Source organism: Homo sapiens, chromosome 2 (assembly GCF_000001405.40).
Source record: "Homo sapiens chromosome 2, GRCh38.p14 Primary Assembly".
NCBI classification, from domain to species: domain Eukaryota; kingdom Metazoa; phylum Chordata; class Mammalia; order Primates; family Hominidae; genus Homo; species Homo sapiens.
In genome coordinates this window covers 26603024-26625494 of record NC_000002.12, presented here as the reverse complement: position 1 = coordinate 26625494, position 22471 = coordinate 26603024, and the positions used below count along the sequence as shown (strand labels likewise).

The window sequence follows — 22471 nt, the reverse complement described above, 5'->3', positions numbered from 1 at the left end:
TGTAATCCCAGCTATCTGGGAGGCGGAGGCAGGAGAATCGCTTGAACCCAGAAGGCAGAGGTTGTGGTGAGCTGAGATTGCGCCATTGCACTCCAGCCTGGGCAACAAGGGCGAAACTCCATCTCAAAAAAAAAAAAAAAAAAAAGGCTGTCCTTAGGAAAGGCCTCGCTCTAGGTGGTCCCAGACATAGGTCCAGGTACAAGCACATGCAGGTTTCTCCACAATACAAGTAAACACTCCCTAACTGCCAGCGCTATGCACAGAGGGAATGCGCTTTCTGTCACTGACGGGTGTTCTAGCATCCTTCGGTCTCAAAAAGAGATTGGACCGATGATCTGGTGCCCTCCTCACTCTCTGAGTCTGTGGTTCTGGCCCTAGGACTTGGTCTTACTCTCTTTTGTGGTGTGCCATCTACCACAGTATGTCCCAGACTTACAAAAAAATTTGTGGGTACATAGTAGGTGTATATATTTATGGGGTACATGAGATGTTGTGATGCAATGCGAAATAAGCACATCGTGGAGAATGGGGCATCCATCCCCTCAAGCATTTATCCTTTGAGTTACAAATAATCCAATTACCCTCTAAGTTATTTCCAAATATACAATTATTATTGACTATAATGCCTATATAAAAAAAATATATATATATATACACCATAATACCTTGTTGTGCTATCCAATAGTAGGTCTTATTCATTTTTTCTATTTTTTTTGTGTGTACCCATTAACCATCCCTGCCTGCCCCGCCCCCCACCCTCCCACTAAACTTCCCAGCCTGGTCCCAGACTTTTTATTCAAAAACAAAATCTTTTTTTGAGGCAGGACTAGAGATGCCAACTTTCAGTTTTGCCAAGTAAGGACATTAAAAAAAATATGTCATCCACTGTCAGTGACCATCATTTTATTTTAAAGAAATATTAATTTTAAAACAAAAATGTAAGAAGCCTCGAGTGTTTTCAGACACACCCCCTTTTGTCCGTATTGTTCTCCGTTTGTCACCTGTTGTCAAGAACTTTGTCACTGGCTCATCCCTAGTGCTCAGACCAGCTTTTGGAGACCTAGAGCGAGGACTAAAGATTCCTTCTGTGTCTTTCCGATTCTGGACAAAGCAGAAGCCTTGCTTCCCAAAATGAGCAAGGAGAGGCTTGCTGGGAGGTGGGGGCCCGGCTGTGCCTGCATCCTCTGTGGCCGCAAGGACGGGAGCTGCGTGACTCACACTGCCCAGAACACGTCTCTGGAATAGGCTTTGAGAACTGGGCCCCAGGGAGCTCTGGGTACTGATATAACTTGGCTCAGGGGCTTGAGTGGTCTGGGAAGAAAGCTTTGTTTTCTTAACTTGGGTTCACTCGTGGAAAAAGCGGGCTTGGGAATATTGGGAAGGGTCTGCCTATCAGTGGAGAACAAGGCGAGAGAACATCCTGGGTAGCAGGAAAAGCCTGCTGACCAAAATGTCCCGCACGGGGACAGGACACAGTGCCCCCTTTCCACTCAGCAGTTTCTGTTTTCTTTTTGTCTGATGGATTTGGTGTATTTAAAAGTGTATTAGCTCAATGTTTCTGTTCTTGTAAATAATTATCTTGCTTTCTGTAAACACAGATGAGTGTGGCATGGTGTGACTTGGGTTTCTAGTTTCCGAGCCCAGAGCTGTAGTTGCATCCACTGGGGATGGCTGGAAACAGGGCCTAAAGGAAGATCGCAGGGCCTTGGAGCAGGTAGGGTGGAGGCCTGCACACTGGCGGGGCCACCTCACCCCCCTGGCCTCTTCCCTCCTCCTGCTCCGGGCTTCCTGCTGGCAGATGGTCTTCGCATAGACCCGCCCCTGCTACATTTTATTCCATCTGTTACAGAGCAGAGAGGTTTGGAAACCTGCCCAAGGTGTAGGGAGGTATGGTCAGGATGGCCCCTAAGGTTTCAGCTCCATCTCGGTTTCTATGTATCTCCCAAAGTTTTCCGAGCCTTTCTGAGTCCTGCTTAGAACTAGTTCCTATCTGCTTAGAACAGCTTGCAAAGAACTCACTCCCAAGGCTGAAAGCGATGAAAAGTCCTGAAATTTACTCAGCCTTTCAAGAAATCCTAAAAGTAGGTGGGGTGGGAATGGTAGTGTATTTTTAAAAATTTAATATTTATTTTATTATTTATTTATTTATTTTGAGACAGGGTCTCACTCTGTTGCCCAGGTTAGCGTGCAGTGGTGTGAACACGGCTCCCTGCAGCCTCAATCTCTGGGGCTAAAGCGATCCTCCTGCCTCAGCCTCCCGAGTAGCTGGAACCACAGGCATGTACCACCACACCCAGCTAATTTTTGTGTTTTTCATAGAGATGGAGTCTTGTCATGTTGTCTGGTTGGTCTTGAATGCCTGGGTTTAAGCAATTCTCCTGCCTCAGCCTCCCAAAGTGCTGGGATTAGAGGCATGAACCACCATACCTAGCCTTAATTTTTATTCTAATTAAAAAAAATTTTTTTTAGTTTTTATCATTTATTTATTTATTTATTCTTATTTATTTTTTTTGAGATGGAGTCTCACTCTGTTGCCCATGTTGGAGTGCAGAAGCACCATCTCAGCTCACTGCAACCTCTGCCTCCCAGGTTCAAGCAATTCTTCTGCCCCAGCCTTCTGAGTAGCTGGGATTACAGGCGCGTGCCGCCATGCCTGGCTAATTTTTGTATTTTTAGTAGAGATAGGGTTTCTCCATGTTGGCCAGGTTGGTCTTGAACTCCTGACCTCAAGTGATCTGCCCACCTCGGCCTCCCAAAATGCTGGGATTACAGGTGTGAGCCACCTCACCTGGCCTTTTTTTTAAGTTTTTAAATCAAAATTATTCATGTGTGCCAGGAGTTAAGTTGCCCTATGAGGGTTGCCACATTTCCTCTTCTCAAAGGCAACTATTTTCAGCTCTTGGCTGATTCTTTCCTTATTTGCCTCCATGTCTTTAAAGAGCACCTTGTATTACCCCTTCTTGATAGTTCAGCCTTTGACTTCCCCTAAGAAGAGCTAAAGCTCTTCCCCTCCCCAACACCCATCCTATTCCTCACTCCTTGTTCCCCTGCCCTCCCAATATAGTTACATGATAGTTTGGGGGAGATCAATAGTCAATGTTTTGTATTATTATTATTTATTATTATTATTTTTTGAGATGGAGTCTTGCTTTGTCGCCCAGGCTGGAGTACAGTGATGCGATCTCGGCTCACTGCAACCTCTGTCTCTTGGGTTCAAGCAATTCTCCTACCTCAGCCTCCCAAGTAGCTGGGATTACAGGTGCCCGCCACCATGCCCAGCTAATTTTTGCATTTTTAGCAGAGACAGGGTTTCACCATGTAGGCCAGGCTGGTCTCGAACTCCTGACCTCAGGCGATCCACCCGCCTCGGCCTCCCAAAATGCTGGGATTACAGGCGTGAGCCACCATGCCTGGCCTCAATGTTTTGTATTATTATGACTGCATACACTGTTCAGAGCTGAGTCATGAAATAAGCTGTAGTTACTTTCCCTTTCTGTGTAGTTTTGTTTATTTTTCCTGGATGTCATCATTGTTTTTGCTTAGTTGTCTATGTACTTTTCATTGAAATGACACCAAACCTCTGCCAATCTTCTAAGTCTTCTCCAAAGGCATTTAGAAGTGAGAAGTTTCCTGTACATTTCCTTTTCCTAGCAAAATTTCTCTTGGAGCCTTCTAACATTCTCTAACCAGGACTGGGTTGCCCTCTGAGCCTGGTATATGTTACCACCTTGGGATCTCCTTTCATGACCATCTCAGATTCTTCTCACCACTCTCTTGGGTCTTGCATTTTCTGTTTTCATGTCTCTCCATTTACTCCCCTTCTTTTGGTGGAGCACATCCTCTGGTAGCTTTCTGATAAAGGCTGCATGGAGATAAATGTTTTTACAACTTACATATCTGAAAATGTCTTTTTCTCCTCTCATACTTGACTGATAATTTACCTATTTATTTATTTTTTGTAGAGATAGGGTCCCACTATGTTGCCTAGGCTGGTCTTGATCTCCTGGGCTTAAGTAATTCTCCTGCCTCAGCCTCCCAAAGTGCTGGGATAACATGTGCATGCCACTGAAACTGGCCTTTGACTGAGAGTTTAGATGGAATTGTAGGTTGGATATCATTTTTCTTTAGAATTTGGAAAGCATCACTTAATTGCATTTTAGCTTTCACCGTTGTTATTGAGAGGTCCAAAGCCTTTCTGTTTCCTGATCTTTTTTCATTCCCTGTTTTTTTTTTTTTTTTTTTCCTGGAAACTTGTAGACTCTTCTCTTTTATTTTACTACTCTGATATTCCCAACAATAATTGTTGGCACGAGTCCTTTCCCCTGTGTGTGAGGCACGCGGAGGACCCACTCAGTCTGGAAACTCATGTCCTTCAGCTCTGGGGCCTTTCCTTTAATTATTTCATTGATAACTTTCTCCCTTCTGTTTTCTTTGTCCTTTCTTTCTGGAACTTTAATATTCTGATGCTGTACATCCTAGATTGGTCCTTTATTCTCTGTCTTTTCTCTCCTACTTTTCATCTTTGCCTTTTTGCTCTTCTTTCTGGAAGATTTCCTCCACTTTATCTTCAACTCTAATAGGGTTTTTCACTTCTGCCATCATGCGTTTAGTTTCCAAGAGCTCATTTTTGTTCTCTGATCTTTCTCGTTTTTGTAGCGTCCTCTCCTTTTTCCTTTAAGGTGCTTTTCTCACTTGTTTGTTTGGGTCCTTGGCTTGCGCGTCAGAAGCCTTCCTCAGATATCTGGTCATCAAGGGCTCATGATGATGACTGAAGGGTGGTTGCTAAAAAGCTGTTTTAAAGCTGAAGTCCCTAGGTGGGATTTATCAACTGGGAGCTTCACTGAAGGGCGATCTGAGGGGTCATTTTGAGGATTCTCTAGAAAAATGGAGAGTAAAATTCTGCCTGCTAGCATCCTAGAGCCATGTTAGGAAAGAGGGCTGGTGAGGTCTCAGAGTTCAGCACCTGTATGTTTATTCACTCCCCAGTTCTCAACCATGTCTGACGTCCCCCGTGGAGAAAGCCTCTGCTATACTCTCCCCAGAGAACAAACTCCCGTCTTTTGCAGGGGCTGGGGATGGGCAGTCACCCCGTGGTGCTGAGCAGCCTGTAGGTTGGCGGGGGTGGGGGTGTCTAGAACTCCAACTGCTTTAAACACTTGCAATTGACCTTCCTTTCAGCCAGCCTCTATTTCCAGCGCTACCAGGGACTTCCAGTCGCAGAGTCTGTAGGGGATTCCGGGATGGAGATCAGGGTGGTGTCACCTTCCCCGCTGTGGGATTCGGGTCCTGCTTCCTCAGTCGCGGAGTCTGTAGGGGATTCTGGGATGGAGATTGGGGTGGTGTCACCTTCCCCACTGTGGGCTTAGGGTCCTGCTTCCTCAGTCACAGAGTCTGTAGGGGATTCTGGGATGTAGATCAGGATGGTGTTGCCTTCCCCGCTGTGGGCTTCGGGTCCTGCTTCCTCAGTCGCAGAGTCTGTAGGGGATTCCGGGATGGAGATCAGGATGGTGTTGCCTTCCCCGCTGTGGGCTTCAGGTCCTGCTTCCTCAGTTGCGGAGTCTGTAGGGGATTCCGGGATGGAGATCGGGGTGGTGTCACCTTCCCTGCTGTGGGCTTAGGGTCCTGCTTCCTCAGTCACAGAGTCTGTAGGGGATTCTGGGATGTAGATCAGGATTGTGTTGCCTTCCCCGCTGTGGGCTTTGGTTCCTGCTTCCTCAGTCGCAGAGTCTGTAGGGGATTCCGGGATGGAGATCGGGGTGGTGTCACCTTCCCCGCTGTGGGCTTTGGGTCCTGCTTCCTCAAATCTGCTGGGTTACTTCCCACTTGCTTGTCTGTTTCCTGTGTATGTCACTGTGAATCTGCTGTTGTTTCCCTGTCAGGTCTCTATGTTTTTGTGGGTCATGCCTCTAAGAAACCCCTTTACTTTCATTTTGGCAGGTGTCAGGAGGGAGTGAGGTTTGATGCAAGGGATCTTTCACCCTGTCGCTTTACCCAGGAATCACACCTGCCTTTCCGATGTGCAGTAAAACATTACAGAAATCCCCTCCTCATCGTTGCCCTCGTAGAATCTTCCGCACATATAGCAGCTGCCCCCACAACTTTCCTTTTCCATTCTCCATTCCCAAACTCCCAAGCGCTCCATGAGGCTGGTGTCCTGAGAGCCTGGTCCTGTACTGCCCTCCTTCCGGTCTCCACGCTGGGACGCCCAGCAGCCAGGCACCTCCGGAGCCTCCCTCACCCCCCGGGGAGGGCCCTGTGGGGAGACTCCTGGGAAATGTCACTCCTCTTTCCTTTGATTTCATCCCCAGAGGGAAAAGACCATGGATAAGAGAAGTTTTTGTGGAGAATGCCTGGTGAATAGAGGCTCCCACGCCTGGTTCTCATCCATCACCCCATAAGAAGTGACTATGCCTTTACTGCGGGTTGTGCACCGAGTTCGGTCATGGGGGCCGATGGGGCTTCTTCTCAGGGAATTCTGGATAAAGAACAGGAGACTCACCAGCCAGGGGCTTCACAGCGCTCAGATTATTGACCCAAGTGCCCAAAGTGCCCAAAGCTGGGGCCCAGATGGTCTCACCCAGGCTACCAGTAAGCACAGTCCCTCCTAGAGAGGCCGGTGGGAGATGCCTTGGTCATGCCCGTCAGCATCTCCTTCCCACTTCTTAGGAGCTGAGTGGCTTCCTGGGCGGCCATGCAAGCCTTGGCACAACTTCTTCCTCCATGAGGACCCAGGAAGGACCTCGCCAGTGCTGCCCTGCGGTCAGGCTAGGACCAGGCCCTCGGAGTACCCACACGTAGACCCTTCCCCAGCACCCGGTCCGACTGGACCCCCAGGCCCAAGGCAGGCTTGGCTCTCTGGCCCAGTGAAAACTTTGCCATTAAAAATGACAGTCTTGACTGGGTGCGGTGGCCCATGCCTGCAATCCCACTACTTTAGGAGGTCGAGGTGGGAGGATTACTTGAGCCCAGGAGTTCAAGACCAGCCTGGTCTTGATCTCACTATGTTGCATAGTGAGATCCTTTCTCTACAAAAAATAAAAAATTAGCCAGGCATGGTGGTGTGCACCTGTAGCCTCAGCTGCTCAGAAGGCTGAGGTGGGAGGATGGCTTGAGGCCGGGAGGTTGAGGCTGCAGTGAGCCATGATGGCACCATTGCACTCCAGCCTGGGTGACAGAGTGAGATTCTGTCTGAAAGAAAAGGAAAGACAGTCCTGCTTCTTCTTGCAGAGACCTGGGCTGGAGGGGTCTCAAAGGCTCTTGGGTTTTTGAGCCTCTTTTCCTCTGGATATGGCACATGTGGAGGGTGTTAGAATCTGCCTGTCCACCTGAGATGAGGTCGGGGTGGAGGGAGGCAGGGCCTGGACTCCAGGGATCTTCCTGGTGCATTTTTTGATCAGTTTTTTCAGAGCTGTGTCATGGCCTCCACCTCACCACACTTTCCAAGGGTGAGCCAGCCTTCATAGATGGAGAAACTGAGGCCCACAGGTGGGATGCAACCTACACTTGGTAACAGGGCCAGTCAGAGGGTGAGCCAAGGTTCCAACCCAGGCTTCCCTCCCCAGCCTAGGCCGTTCCACACTCCCTGTTCTGATTTTCTACCGTGTCCAGAGGAAACTCCATGTCTGAGGTTTGGTCCGTTGATGAGGAGCTGCCTGACCTCCTGGCTGTCACGAACTCAGGGCAGCCCTCTGGGAACGCTACACTCAGCCAGAGGGCAAAGGATTGAGCAGGAGGAAAGCAGCCGCAGGGGGCTCTTTGATCATCCTCAACCCAGGCAGGGACAGCTGGACCCGGTGATAATCCTCCTCCTGTATTTAGGCCACTGCCCTGAGCCCCTCCCTCACCCTCAGATAGTCTCCCTGGCTTGTTAATGAAAAGCAGCAGATTGGATGAGTACAGCAATTCCACTCTCCAACCCCAAATGTTCTCTGCCCTAGTCACCGCTTCATGGTTGCAAGCACTTTCACAGTCTACCTAGTTTGATCCTCACAGCAGCTCTGTAAGATGCAGTGGTATCTCCCCATTCTACAGATGAGGAAACTGAGGCTCTGAGAAGCTGAAAGCCCTACTCAAGGCCACACAATTGCCCAGAGACTGTCCTGCCAACTTGCCTTCATCCAGCTCCAGAAGTGGCTACAGGAAATAAGGGTGTTTGAATTTTTGCTCTTGCCAACTTCTCTCTCCTCATCTCGCCCTCAATTTAGCCAACCCTCCCTGAGCTAGAGGCTCCTGTTACACAGGGGGCTGGCTGAATGCTCATTCCCTCCCAGTTTCCCCAACTGTTCCTAGGCTGAATCCCACCTCCTACATGCCCAGGACACAATCATGCCCACCCACGCTCACGTGCACACACACACACACACACACACACACATTCCATGCTCTTGCTGTGGGTAAGTTCTTGACAAACCACTTCCCTGGTCTCGGATTCCTCACCTGTAAAATGGGTAGAGCAGTGGGGGAGGCTGGGAGTGACCATGTGTGCTCTAAGACTCCTGACCCCTCACAGGCAGTGCTTGCCTGAGCTGTCCCTGCTCCCCTCACCTTCCAATCCTTTAGAGGCAATCGTTTGAGCCTTTGTCCCTGTTATGAAGAGGCCCTGCCCTTCCCCCAAGACTTCTGTTTGCTCTTCTGCATATCTCTTCATCTTCTCGGGAAGATAAAAGTCAAAGTCACCATGCAGGTGACACGTGTGTGTGCCTGTGTGGATACACACGTGTGCACATGTCTAATTTATGTACATGTGTGTGGTAGGAGGAGGAAGGAGGATGGGAAGGAGCTGGTGGCCGGGGTGGTTGATGGCTGAGATGGAATAGCTTTTCTCATACACATCTGGGACGCCCTGTGGAGTGTCTGTCTTGGGTGTTGGGGTAGCCTGGGCTTAGGTCCAGCTCCTGACAGCAGGGCCCCTTCAGCTCCCAGCACCCAGCTTCTCGGGCTCCTGTGGTAGGCCTGGGAATTGTCTGATTCCCAAGTCCCCAAGCCAGGCCCCACCTTTAGTGCCCAGACGCCCCAGCGGGACAAATCTTCCACTGAGAAAGGACAGAGAGAACAAAGGGCCCAGCCTGGCCTCCCAGGCTCCCATCCCAAGGCTCCACCTCGCAGGGCCCAAGGTCACCAAGCCTTTCATTACATTGGGGAGATGCATGCTGGCTCTGTGAGCACCCTAGGAGTTGGCGACCTCCACTCTTCGCTCACCCAGGGCTGCAGGCACGGCCACCATGCTGCATTCGGCTGACCTCAGGCCAGCTGGCTGCCCCATGTGGCCCCCAGGAAGTCCTGAGATCTGGGCTGTGCCCAGCACGGTGTGGGATGTCACACATGCATCATCTCACTTACTCCTCAAGGTAACTGTTTGAGGAGGGAGTTGTTCGCTTCATTTACAGCTGGGCCGCAGAGGCCCACAGGGGTTAAGCAGCCCAGCCACCACAGTCACATGGCTGATGGAAATCGGCAGCCTTGCTCTCCAGTGCTCACCCCCCACCGCCCCCCAGCGCTGGTGGGAGGGTCCCGACGCCTGATGCCAGTCGGAGCTGGGAGGGTAACTTGGCAGCTGGCTCACACCCTGCATTTTCAAGCATCATTAGATCTTTTTCTGACAACTTCATCAGTTAGCAGGGCTCAGAATTGGCAAAAATCCTTATTTAGACATTCAGCCAAAGAATTAAGAAGTGGTTTGTTTCAGAAAAAGCTCAGTGATGTAGGAGGCAGTCTCTGTTCTGGGTCGAGCAGGCAGCAGTGGAGGGACGGGCTCTGGCCCCCTGCCTCGGCCTTGCCGCTGCCACCTGGCGGTCTTGGGCTTGGCACCACCCTTCTCAGGGCCTCAGTGTCTTCATCTTCCAAATGGGTGTGATAGCACCTCCCACAGGTGAGGAAGGTAGCGAGGAAAGCCTGGGAAGTTGGGGAAGAAGAGCTCAGGGCTCTAGTTTTAGCTTTCCCATCTGCTGGCTGTGTAGCCTGGGGCCAGTTCCTTCCTCTTCCTGGGCCTCAACTTTCTACCTGGACCAAAGGGCGGGGCATGGATGACCTGAGGCTCTAATCTCACGCCAGGGGTGAAGGGAGCCTGTAGGGATGGCAGCCGCTCTCCCAGGGCATCCTGGGAGGTAGGGGAGATTCTGTACCCTGCAGCCTATGTGGTACCTCTTGCAGGGGACAACGGATGGGTAACACTTCCCACTGCTCACCTGGCTGCAGTTTGTTCGACTCCTGTTTCATGCTGTCTGGGGGCAGGGGATGGAGAGGCATTCTGCTTTCATTTGTCCAGGATTTGACTGTTCCCCTGACTCCTTACCTGCCACATCTTACTGGGAAGTAGCATTCAGACTGTTACTGTCTCCAGTTCATGGAGGAGAAAATTAGGCACTGGGTACCTGAGTGACCTCCCTCAGTCACCCAGCTAGTCTGGTATGCGGCCAGGGCTGGAACTCAAACCAGCACTGGCAACTGCAGGGCCAACTCTCCTTGCTTCTCATCACGTTTCTCACTTCCTGGGAAGATTTTCTCATCCAGTCAAACCCACTCAGGCCTCTAATTGGTTCTGTCAATGATTCGTGACTTCTCTCAAAGCTCCCAAGAGCAGGGCGCATTATCCTTGACGTGCAGCATTGGAGAGGCAGTTTAGCAAATGGAAGGAGTTCAGGCTTCCGGGCAAGTTGCTCCACTTCCCGGAGCCTCAGCTTCCTTACCTTGAACTTGGGCATGGCGAGCCCCCTTTGCAGGGTCATGTAAGGATTCTGTGGCTCAGCCCTTCTCTGAGGACACTCTGCACACACAGCATCTCATGTGCTTCTCCCTGTGAGGGGTGCATGTGAGTCAAGACGGGAATAATCAGCCCCACTTGGCAGATGAGTAAATGGAGGCTCGGGAGATGGAGGGGTTGCCTGAGGTGGCAGGACCAGCCAGTGACCAGCCGGAACTGGGCGCCCTGTGGTGCACCGACTCTGCCAGACTCTGCCTCCTGGGAAAACTGTTCATGTGTCTGAGGTGAGAAGTGAGTCCAGGCTCCTTTCCAGAGGAGGAGCCTCCTCCCTCTAGTGCAAATGACACGCTAATGGGATCATTTAAAAAGTATTGCTCGTGCCTGAATTCCCCAGTGACACCAAGGGACAGGCAGATGAGGGCCTGGGGAAGGGGCCGGTGGGCCTGGGGACATGCTCATCCAGTCCCTCGGCCACAGTCCGGCACTCCCAGAGTACAAGATAAACAAACTCCATTTCAGCTTTTCAAGAGTCCTGGTCCCAAGGGCCCCTCTCTGCCTGCTGGCTTGAGGCTTTATTCCACTCATGTCTTTTCTGATAACTTCATTTGTGCCCCAGAGACCTCAGACTTGTTTAAAAATAGAAAAATAAACAATATCGTTCCTGAAGTACCCCCTCCCCTCTTCGGGCCTCCTAATGAGGTGCTGGCCAAGCTGGCCGGGGCTCTGTTCCCAGGGTTTTTGACCCTCTGCAGGCCCTGGGCCTGCTGCTGCCTCCACAGGGAGGAGACGCCCTGCAGCTTTGGAGGGCTTCCCAGCAGCCCGAATGGCTAGTGTCAGAGGAGGCATTCAGCCACCTGCCTGCCGGTGTCAGCGGCCTCTGCTCTTCACAGCTGGGACAGCTGAGATGCGGGGACACATTCACCCAGGTGCAGAGAGGCAGGACAGGCCCCGCACAGGCCCGACTACAGAGAGACCTGTTGAGGACATTCCTTCTCCTCTTAGCTCTGGCCCCAGCCCCTCACAAGAGCCCAGGCCCCTTCTGTGTGCCAGGCACCGGATACAACTCCAGGATGCAAACCCTAAAGTCTCCTGGGCTCTTCAGGCTTGTCACCAAAAGCCCTGGAGTTGAACTGCAGTTTGTGTATAACCTCAGCTTTCCCCATCTGAAAAATGAATCCAATGATAGCAGCCCTGCCTACTTCAGAGGGTTTTTACGAAGACTGGATGACAGAATGGAGGTGAAATGCTAAAATACTCCAGGAAAGGGAGGGGGATTGCAGGCAGCATTCCCAGAAGCTGCCTGTGGAGGGAGGGCATGGCTGTGCCCTCTGAGTGGCAGGACCACCTGGGGAGTCTTTATGTGTAAGCTCCAGCCTCACACCAGGGGCTTAGAGGGAAGGTGGCTAAGAAACTGGGGTGCTCCACCTGCAGAAAGACTTGGGAAGACATACGTTCTTTACATCCTTGCTGGTGGGTGGAGGAGGAATTAGATTTGGCCCCAAGGGTACTGCTAAGGTGGATGGGAAAAGTGACCTTGGGGCCCCTTCTGTTGGTCCTAGGGAGGAAATTTCCTAACAGAGAGAGGAGGCTCAGTCGAGAGAAAGCAAGCTCCAGGTGCTGGAGGCCTCCAGGCATAAGCTGGGGGATCAGGCTCCGGTGGGAAAAACCCACTCTCCTAGAAAGCTGAAGCTGAGATGAGGAGGAGAGATGATGAATGCCCTTGCATCTGCTGAAAGTCCCCTAGGCCTTGGGGAAAGGATCCTCCTTCTCTCTCTTTCTGCCCAAGGCCAAATGCCAGAGGGAAGTGCTCCCAGCAGACCCACCCAGCATCTAGGGGAATGGAGGCAAAGGCCAGTGACCAAGACGTCACTTCTCAGGTGGCAGAAAACCCAGAGATGGGAGATAAGTTATCTCTGGAGATGATTGGAGCACCTACTGCCCTGGCCCCTGTTGATGCAGAACCTCCCCCTTGTCCCATACTCTGTAAACTGCCCCAGGGCTTAAGCCACCCCACCTTCAGGAAAGTCGTCACGGGGAGCAGCTGGCAGGGCTCTTGTGGATTGAGGACAGCTTCCTTCTGTGCATATGCAGTGCCTCGCTTGGCCAGCTGCTCCTGCTCTCTGTCTCTGGGCAAATGGCCTCCTGGAAGAGGAAGAATCACCGAGAAAAGGGAAGGCTCCCAGCAGGGCCAGGCAGTTGGCAGTGGTCCCACTTCTTGAGTCCCTTCCTCCTTAGAGAGGCCTCCGAGCCACCAGGGACCCTGGGAGGGGAGGGAGGCCAGGGAACCACTGTGCTTTTTCAGGCTTTCACGCCCAGAAAGTAGAAGCAGCACTGGGGCCAACAAGGCTCTTAGAACCCTGTAGAATAATCCACAAAAATGTCCACTGCATCCTAGTTACCCATCTTTGGCTCCATATTTTGGAAAGAATATGGAAAGGTACAGACATAGATGCTCTAAGACTCAAAGATGGTGCGATGAGCTGGGGCCATCTTCCACTGAACTTCCGTTCTTATTGAGCTCTGAGCTGAATAGGATTCCTGTCTCCTGCCAGGCCTTACAGGAGAAGAGTGCACATCAGCCCCTCACTGGGTCTGGGAGCCAGGAGTTCAGCTCTGCCTGGGTTCAGCCCTTGCCCTGCAGAGAGTGAAGCAGAAGAGAGAAGCAAAAGCTCCTGCCTCCAACCCCCTGGGAAGGAAAGTTGTTTTGCTTGCTTAGCAAATTGTCTCTGGAGTGCACTTTCTTTTTTAATTTGCTTTTTATTTATTGTTAACGTAGTATGACACCAATAAAATAAAATTTTAAGAAATCAATTCCTTAGCATCCAACGACCCTAACATAAATTTTCATTTTCTATTTTCTTTTGCCGTCTTTTCCCCTAGGCAAGCTTTATTTTATAATATCGTAGACATACATAGATACAATTTTATTCTGTGCTCTTTTCCATTAGGCATAAATGCTTTTTCTTGTTGCTACATAGTCTGTGTAATTATCATTTTGATGGCGCATAATTGCATTGAGTTCTGATTTACTAAACCATCTCCTCATGGCTGGACATTAACATTCTTTCCAGGGGTTTATTTATTTATTTGTTACTATAAATAATTTTGTAATAAACACCCTCATCTATTATTTTTCTCATTTTTTGAATTTTTTTTAGTTTAGACATCCAGGTTCTCCTTGGAGGTTTTAGATGGATAGAACTGTCCACTCCAAGAATTTGAACTACGCAATCATTAAAATGATAATTATACTGAGTATGTAGCAACATGGAAAAACCTTTATGCCTCATAGGGGAAACTGCACAAAATAAGAAACCTGGGCTTTGGAATATCCTTAACCCAAATCAGTGATAAAAGATGGAGCCCTGTGACACATCACTAGAGACCTCCCTCTAAGTTGACATGACTCCATAAAGGTCTCTTCGCATGTGGTTTTTCAATAGGCAGCTCTACCCTGTGTTATCATACAATCCATTCTCTCCATCCTCCCACGGACAGTATTATGTGAGAACTTCCCAGATGGACTGTGCTGACAGGCGCCACAGCAGTGCTGGCCCTGCAGCCCGAAGGCTAGGTTGCATCTCCTGCTGAGTGTGCAGTGGATCCTAGCCCCAAGTCTCCTCCACCTGCACTGCTGCCCAGAGGGTGCCATCCTGGAGGGAGAGATGCAGAAGTTCTCATCACTCCTGTGACAGGTCATCAGTTCATCTGGCCACCCCAGCAAATGCAGGGATTCACGGGGCATTTTCCACTTCTCCCCTTGCTCTTGCAGGAGCAAGCTTGTTCCTGGACTCTCAGCCTGGGCTTGTTTGCTAGCCCGGGAGTATGACACCCATGTGTATTTTTTCCATTGCAATGCAGCGTTTTCCTGGAAAACATTCCAGGGAAGGAGCTCAGGTTTGAGGGTCACACAGACCTGGGATCAAATTCCTGCCTTTCCTCTTATTTGGTTAAGTAATTTAACCTCCTCACCCCTCAGTTTTCTTAATCTATACAATGGACTTACTGCTATTGACTGCTTGGTTTCTTGTAAGGGATTAATGGACAAATAGATGTGAATTTGGCTGACACAGCACCTGATATACAGTAAATATTTAACAAGCACCAGTTTCCTGCCTTCCTTTCTGCCCTTCTTGGACCCGAGGGAAGGTATAGATAAGGTGTGGTGCCCAGAGGTCTGGGTACTTAATAAATGCCAAGGTAAATCATGGCTGGCTGGCAGAGCCCTTAGCAGGCAAGGGCAGCCTGATACTATTGGGGCAAAGTCCCCAGGATACAGGAGAGAGAAGAACAGAAAGCTGGGGGTTTCAAAAATCCAATAGTCCAAAATGTCAAGGACTGAAACATTAAAAGGCCTTTGAGTTGCTTAGGTTTAGACTCCGTTGTTTAAAGAGTCACTGAGCGTGGGGCAGTGGGTGGGCAGGGGGAGAGGCGGCTATTGGTGAGAGGAGGCTGCAGTGCGAGTCCATTTCTGTTTATATCAGTGGATTCAAAGTGAGGGACAAAATAGATCAATTGTTGCTTAGATGTGTTTGATAAAAGAGGAACTGTTATCTTGATGCAAAGATCTACAGCCTGCAGAGTTCACAGGGAACATGGTTCCCAGCGTGCCCTGTGCTGGGTGTCCCCAAACAGCTGCAAAGCAGCCCTGACACCATCTGAGAACCTCTGGCGGCTTACAAACAGGAAGGCTGCTTGTAAACAGTAGGCCGGAACCAGGAGGGTCGTGGAGGCACAGCGGGGCCCTGCCACTCCAAGCGGAACCCAGCCTGCTCCCACGAGAAGCAGAGGAGCGAATGTTCTAGGCAGTTTTCTAAGCTTCCGCTGCCTGGTCTGCCCTTGAGTGGGTGACTTCATCCTGTTAGTTACAGTCTCTTGCTTTGAACTAACTGCCTGTAAAGTACAGGTACAGATTGTGTTTTAAAGGGTTTTCATATTGGTTGTTCGGAACTTTGTTTGTGTTTTCCGTGGGAAAACGTATAAACTGTGTTTAAGTTCCCAGCCTGAGCCACAAGCATTGAAGCTACTCATAGTACAACAGCATTAAAATTGAGAAAATAACCTTGCGCCCAGACCTGGAGCCCTGTTGCGCCTGGGACCTTCCCGCCCTGAAAAATGGAGTTGAAATGGCTGTGAAATCCCTTCCCTCCTCCTCTCTGGCCCAAGAGCGTATGCGGTCCTCCCCTATCTTTCTGTTCTTTTGTCTGGGGTGGGAGTGAGGTTCACAAGAAGAGGGGCTCCTACATCTTCCTTCTGTTCCCTCTGCCTCCGTCTCCTGCATGTCTGCTTCGCTTCACATTCACCCAGACAAAACTCTCGGCCTCTTCACTGACATCTGCAAAAATTCCACTCATGTCAAGCACTGTGTGAATTTCGGTCAGCACCACTGAAGGCTGGGGAGAGGGAGGTGGGGAGAGGAGGGAGGTGGTCTCTGTAAGGGCCCTGGCTTGTAGCATTTGCATCCGCTGCTGCCTCTCCCCTTCCTCTTCCCCCTGCCCTCCTCAGCCTCTATCCTGGAGTGCCTGTAAGGGCCCCATTCTCTCTGTACTGGGCACCAGCTCCTGCCTCCACCCAGGCCTGTTCAGACCAGAGGGGCGTCCCCACTCACAGGACTCACCTTCCCCCACACCAGTTGTTTTAGTGTCAATAATAATCTTTTTCTCATTACCGTCGTAATTCGATAAAACCAGCAAAGCGGTAGAATAAAACTAGAGTCATCCATTTAACAACAGTGCTTTATTTGGGGCTCTGGGAGAAGTGGTTTTTGTCAAAAGGGCTGCGGTTGTCAATAGAAACATTTCCTAAAAAAATCTGGCAGAAATTAGAAGAGGGAAGCCAGTTAAAGGACAGGCTTGCAGGAGAGACAGCTCATCTCAGGTGGAAGTGACCATGAGCGACGAGAGAGCAAGAGAGGGAGAGGTGAGAAGAGGGTGGGCCCCGGGGTGGGGGTGATGTGCTATGCCACCTCTGCAGGGCCCGGCCACCCACGAGACAGGGGTGCTGGGGAGTGCAGGGAGAGAAAGAAGGCTTGGTGAGATCTGTGCCAAACCACTGTTTCCAGGTTGGTGGTTTGCACTGGAGTGAGGCTGGGTGTGGTCTGCGCTTCACACCACTTCTCCCCACAGCCCCCATCGCATCGCCACCCCTGTTGGGTGGCAGGCTCTGTCCAGGCAAGGATGGGGCAGCCTGGGAGTCAGCCTGACAGCATCTGGTGTCATGTCTCTGCCATTTAGTGGCCCTGGGAGTTCGATCAGGTCATTTAGTGGATGTAGTCTAAGGATTGTCCACGGAGAAACCCAGGCAGCTTATTCAGATACAGACTCTTGGGCCTTAGGCCTAGAGGTGCTGACTCGGAAAGTCTATGCTAGGGTTAAGGCATCTGAATTTTGTTTCAAATTCCCTGTGGGACTCAGACACACAGCCAATGTGTTAGTGCCTCTGTCATTCTCTAGCCTCAATTGCAGAGCGAGGTGAAATGTAGGTAGGTACACAGCACGTGAGCCCCCTTCTCACCCCCTTCTCACCAGACCCACTCTCCTTTTTTTTTTTTTTTTTTGAGACAGAGTCTAACTCTGTTGCCCAGGCTGGAGTGCAGTGGTGCAATCTCAGCTCACTGCAACCTTCCCGTCTCCTGGGTTCAAGGGATTCTCCTGCCTCAGCCTCCTGAGTAGCTGAGATTACAGGCATGCGCCACCAAGCTCAGCTAAGTTTTGTATTTTTAGTAAAGGTGGGGTTTCAACATGTTGGCCAGGCTGGCCTTGAACTCCTGACTTCAGGTGATCCACCCGTCTCAGCCTTGCAAAGTGCTGGGATTACAGGCGTGAGCCATCGCGCCCGGCCAGAGCTGCTCTCCTTTGAGTCCCCTGGAGATTTCACGTGGAGGTGACATTCACATCAGCCTGGCTGGCCAGCCAAGCCTCTGGCCAAAGTCAGCATCTGAAGAGCCAGAACACACATTTCTGCTGCCCTCCGGCAGGCAGGGTGAACCCCTGGACACACGCTGGCCCAGGTAACAGCTTTGCTTGGAGCTCAAAATGAACAGCTCTACCAGAGCCAGGAGTGTTGGTGGTGCTGGTGGTGCTGATGGAGGACAGGTGAAGTGGGGTGGGGGTTATTCATGGTAGCAAATGTTTATCCGGGTCCTGGCAGTGCCAGGTGTTTTGCAAATATAATCTCATTCGAGCCCCACAAAACCCTGTGAACAAGGCTATGACTTTACCCATTTTACAGATGGGGAAATGGAGGTCACACAGCTTGTTTTGTTGTGTTGTTATCTAGGAATTTGAATATTGTTTAATGTGTTATAAGATATTGTAGAGTTGATCACAAGCTATTAAAAATGGTAATGTACAAACGTGGATAGATATTTATCTACAATACGGGTAAGTTTTGTTTCTCCTGTAATAGATGTTGATGAACAAGTGAGGGGACAATTGATTTTTGGTTATCTTTTTTGTTCTTTTTTGCTCGGGCAAGTTGCACTATTAAAATATTGAGATTGTATAAATATAGTCAAAAGCTGCAAGATGGGAAAATCTTGTAGATGTCAAATAAGAAGTCATTATACTAACTTTTTAGAGTCAATCTGACTCCAGAGCCTCTGCTCGCTCCACTGCCTACCCCAAATCTCCCACAACGCAAGACCAGGCTTCTAGGTGGCCCCCAAAACCTCAGGCCTGCAGTCCTTTGAGCTCCACCTAGGAGAGGTAGTTAGGGCAGATGGCTCTTTGGGAAGTTTCCTCCAGGGAGTGGCAGGTACCTGTTGGCCTGGAATCTGGGGAGGACTGGTTTGGTGGGTCTGAGTCAGGTTCAAGCCACATGATCCCATGGCTGTTTAATAATATTTAACATTTTTACTGCCTTTCTTCCCTATTTGTTCCATTAGCGATCCGCCTCCAGCTGCCGGCAGGACACATCCTTAGCCTGACCCTGCCAGCCCATCTGTCACTAGGAGACAGCTCCCATTTGAGCCTCTCTGTTTTTAGACTTCAGGAAGGTTGAGCATCTCAAACACAGGGGCTATCCCTTTCTTATAAATAATTAGCAGGAAAGATGCCTCCAGGGCCCCGGACAATAGAGGAAGTGCATTCACCTAAATAAATTTCTCACCCTCCATGCTCCCTGGACCCCAGCGCCCCAGAAATGAAAATTTCAGGGTTCTTTCTACCTGGGGAGGGTCATACCAACCAGCTAGAGTCTCTGAGGGGTTTCAGAGTCCAAGTTAAACCCCACTGCTGCCTTCTCCTCCTTCACATTTTTATTCCCTGGAAGGGAAAGAGACAGCTTGAGGGGCGCGGGAGGAGGGGGGAGTCCTCTGGCCCTGCCTCTTTTCTCATTCCCCTGAACAGCTTTTCCCTGAATCCTCCACCACATCTCCCTCCCTTCTGGATTTGGCCTCGGCTTTGCTCCCCTCTGTCTTCTTCCTGGTTTCTCCTTCCGAGCCCTTTGTCCGTCCTGCCTCCCAGCCTCACTGTCCTGTCCTAGCTCTTGTCATAGCACTTTGCGTGCGCTTGATTGAGATACTTCCCCACGCTGTCTGGTTCTGAAGAAACATCTGTAAGTGCCTAGGCTGAGTTTCTTGGAGTGCAGTGGCAGCGTCTGCATCATTTTGGGGGGCCCCAGGACTCAGCGCAGTGTCTGTTGCTCAGTACCTCACCCTGATGCATTTGCGGCAAGGACTTGAAGTTCAGACGATGAGCTTTGTGTCTTCATTCCCAAAGGAAGAAGCCACATCATTCGCCCTCCCCCGCGCCTCCCCCCTGCCCTTGGCCTGTTCTCTGAGTAACTGCGGGCTGGCAGGGTCATGGGACTCATGGCGATTCCTCAAACCCCGCCTGCATGGTAGGTGGGAGTGTGATTTTGAAACATTTTCTTGGGAAACAGTTAATTAAATGCTCGATGGAGTCAAAAGTAGCACTGTAGTTGGGCATTTGAATTCAGAATTTGAGTCCTGACCTTCGTTTGGCTAGTTGCTTTCCTTCTTTGGGCTTGAGCTGTTTCCTCTCTTTGTAAAATGAAGTGATAATATCGACCCTGCATTTGCAAAATGAAGTGATAATATCGTCCCTGCCACCTGCCTGCAAGGTCGTCACAGCCTGCACACAGTAGGTGCTCACTTGTTGGGTCTGTGAACTGACTGAATGATGCTGACCCAACACTGCCACCTTCTGGTAGAGATACTCTAGTGCTGAAGGGTGAATCCTGGTTCAGACCCAGAACTAGGAATTCCTCCTAGGCAGTGAGATGAAGGAAGAAGAGCCTTCCCTGAAAGGGCGTCCACTCCCCTGTTCGCAGGTGAGTCCAGCAACTTCATCTACCTGTGGCGTCCAAGTCACCGTGGGTGGTGATAAGCTCTTCCATTTCCTCCGGGCAGCCACTTGCAGGTAGCCCAGGAGCACAGGGTGGAATGGGTTCCACCATCCACCAGCTGATACACTTTCCCCCGGTGACTGACTGCCAACAAGGGGTGAAGGACATTTTTTTTTTTACTTGAACAAACATTAAAAACCTTTCTTTTTTTAAAAAATTCAAGCATTTAATGCTATTAATTTCCATGTATACATTGCTTTCACTGAATACCACAAATTTTCATATGTTATGTTTTCATTTTCACTTAGTTCAAAATAATTTCTAATTATTCATGATTTCTTTGACTTTGAGGGTTTTCAAGAATCTTTTTATTATTGATTTCTAATTTAATTTTGTTGTGTTCAAATAACATTTTCTGTATGCTTTAAATCCTCTTAAATTCATTGAGATTGGTTTTATAACCCTGAATATGGTCTATCTTGGTAAATATTCTAAGTACACTTGGAAAAAAATGTATATTCTGCTGTGTGGGGTGGCGTGTTCTGTAAAATATCAATTGGGTCCCGTTGATTGGTAGTCTTTTTAAGTCTTTCATATCCTTAATGATTTTTAGAGGTCCTACTTGTTCTATCAATCATTGGATGTTAAACTCTCCAACTATAATTGTGAATTTGTCTTCTTGAAAAGGATTCAAAATGAGGGGAAAAACCCTTTATGTTTACTCACCTACTTATGATTTCTAATATTCTTCATTCCTTTGTGCAGAAACAGGCTTCCTTCTGGAATTTTCCTTCTGTCAGAAGGACTTCCTTTTATATTTTTTGTAGCTCTGGTTTACTGCTGATGCATTCACCCAGGTTTTGTTTGTCTGGGGGAAAAAAAGAGTATTTTGTCTTCAGATTGGAAAGGTATTTTTGCTGGGTATAGAAGAGTAGAATAAGAGACTTTTTTCTTTCTCTCAGAGAGTAAAATATATCGCTCCATTGTCTTCTGGCTTGCTTAGTTTCTGATAAGAGACCTAGTGTCATTTTTATCTTTGTTCCTCTCTACCTGTGTGTTTCCTGCCTCTGGAGAAAGATTTTTCTTCTTCTTTTTATTTATATTTTTTAAACAGGGTCTTGCTCTGTCACCCAGGCTGGAGTGCAGTGGCATGATCATAGCTCACTGCAGCTTCGTTCTCCTGAGCTCAAGCAATCTTCTTGCCTCAGCCTCCCAGGTGGCTGGGACTGCAGGCGTGCACCACCATGCCCAGGTAATTTTTTTATTTTTAGTAGAGACAGGGTCTTGCTAAACTGCCCAGACTGGTCTCGAACTCCTGGGCTCAAGCGATCCTCCTGCCTCTGCCTCCCAAAGTGTTGGGATTCCAGGCATGAACCACCATGTCCAGCTCTGATTTTTCTTCTTATTACTGCTTTTTAGCAGTTTGATTATGCTGTGCATTGATGTAGTTTTCTTCATATTTCTTTCTTTTTTTTTTTTTTTTTAAGGTATGCTCTTGCTCTGTTGCCCAGGCTGGAGTGCAGTGGCACAATCTTGGCTCATTGCAATCTCTGCCTCCTGGGCTCAAGTGATCCTCCCACCTCAGTCTCCTGAAGAGCTATGACTACAGGCGCACACCACCACACCTGGTAAATTTTTGTATTTTTTTAAAATAGAGATAGGGTTTTTGCCATGTTGCCCAGGCTGGTCTTGAACTCCTGGGCTCAAGTGATCTGCCTGCCTCAGCCTCCGAAAGTGCTGGGATTACAGGCATAAGCATGGGTCTGTTTTCTTTAGCTGATTTTTCTACTGGTTGTGGGTCTTATTTTCCTTCTTTTTTTGCATGATGGATAATTTTTTACTGGATGCTAAACACTGTAAATTTTGTATGGTTAGGTGTTTAATTTTGTTGCATTCATTTAAATGTTACTGAGTTTTGTTCTTGGATGCTGTTTTGTTACTGAAATCATTGATATTTTCAAGTCCAGCTTTTAAGATTTAGTAAGACAAGACTGTGTACCTTTCACCCTGTATTCACATCAGGGAAAGCTGGGTGAAAGGTATACAGGACCTGTATACCTATTATATTTTTATATAGGTATTTTTATATTTACTTTATTTTTCAAAACTAAGAAATAAAAATTAGTGCTTGCATTGTATTAATGCAATACAAACTTTGCTCGGCTTGCACTAGTTTTCCACTCATGTTTTTTGATCTGTGTCAGGATCCCCTCCAGGGTCCCACCTTCCATTTAGTCATTGCGTGTTTTTCGTTCCTCTGATCTGTGATAGTTTCTCAGTCTCGCTTTTCCATGATTTTTTGGAGAGCACAGACCAGGTGTTTTTGTAGAACATCTTTCAACTTGGGTCTGTCAGATGTTTTCTCATAATTAGACAGAAGTAATGGATTTGTGCAAATACCACAGAAGTGAACCCCCCCACCCCACCCCGTTTTTTAGAGACAGGGTCTTGCTCTATCGCCCA

At 49.1% G+C, this 22471-nt stretch overlaps 1 protein-coding gene across 4 annotated transcripts in view; it reads left to right on the top strand.

Annotated features, from left to right (window-relative positions):
* Positions 1–22471, top strand: part of CIB4 (calcium and integrin binding family member 4) — a 60162-nt gene that overhangs the window by 15872 nt on the left and 21819 nt on the right. The window contains exon 1 of one of the 4 annotated variants that reach the window (XM_017003330.3): positions 18988–19993. The exons of the other annotated variants lie outside the window; for them this stretch is intronic. Coding sequence (XP_016858819.1) covers positions 19943–19993 — 51 coding nt within the window. The 5' untranslated portion in view covers positions 18988–19942. Of the gene's footprint in view, positions 1–18987; positions 19994–22471 lie in introns of those variants that run through there. 4 annotated transcript variants of the gene reach the window in all.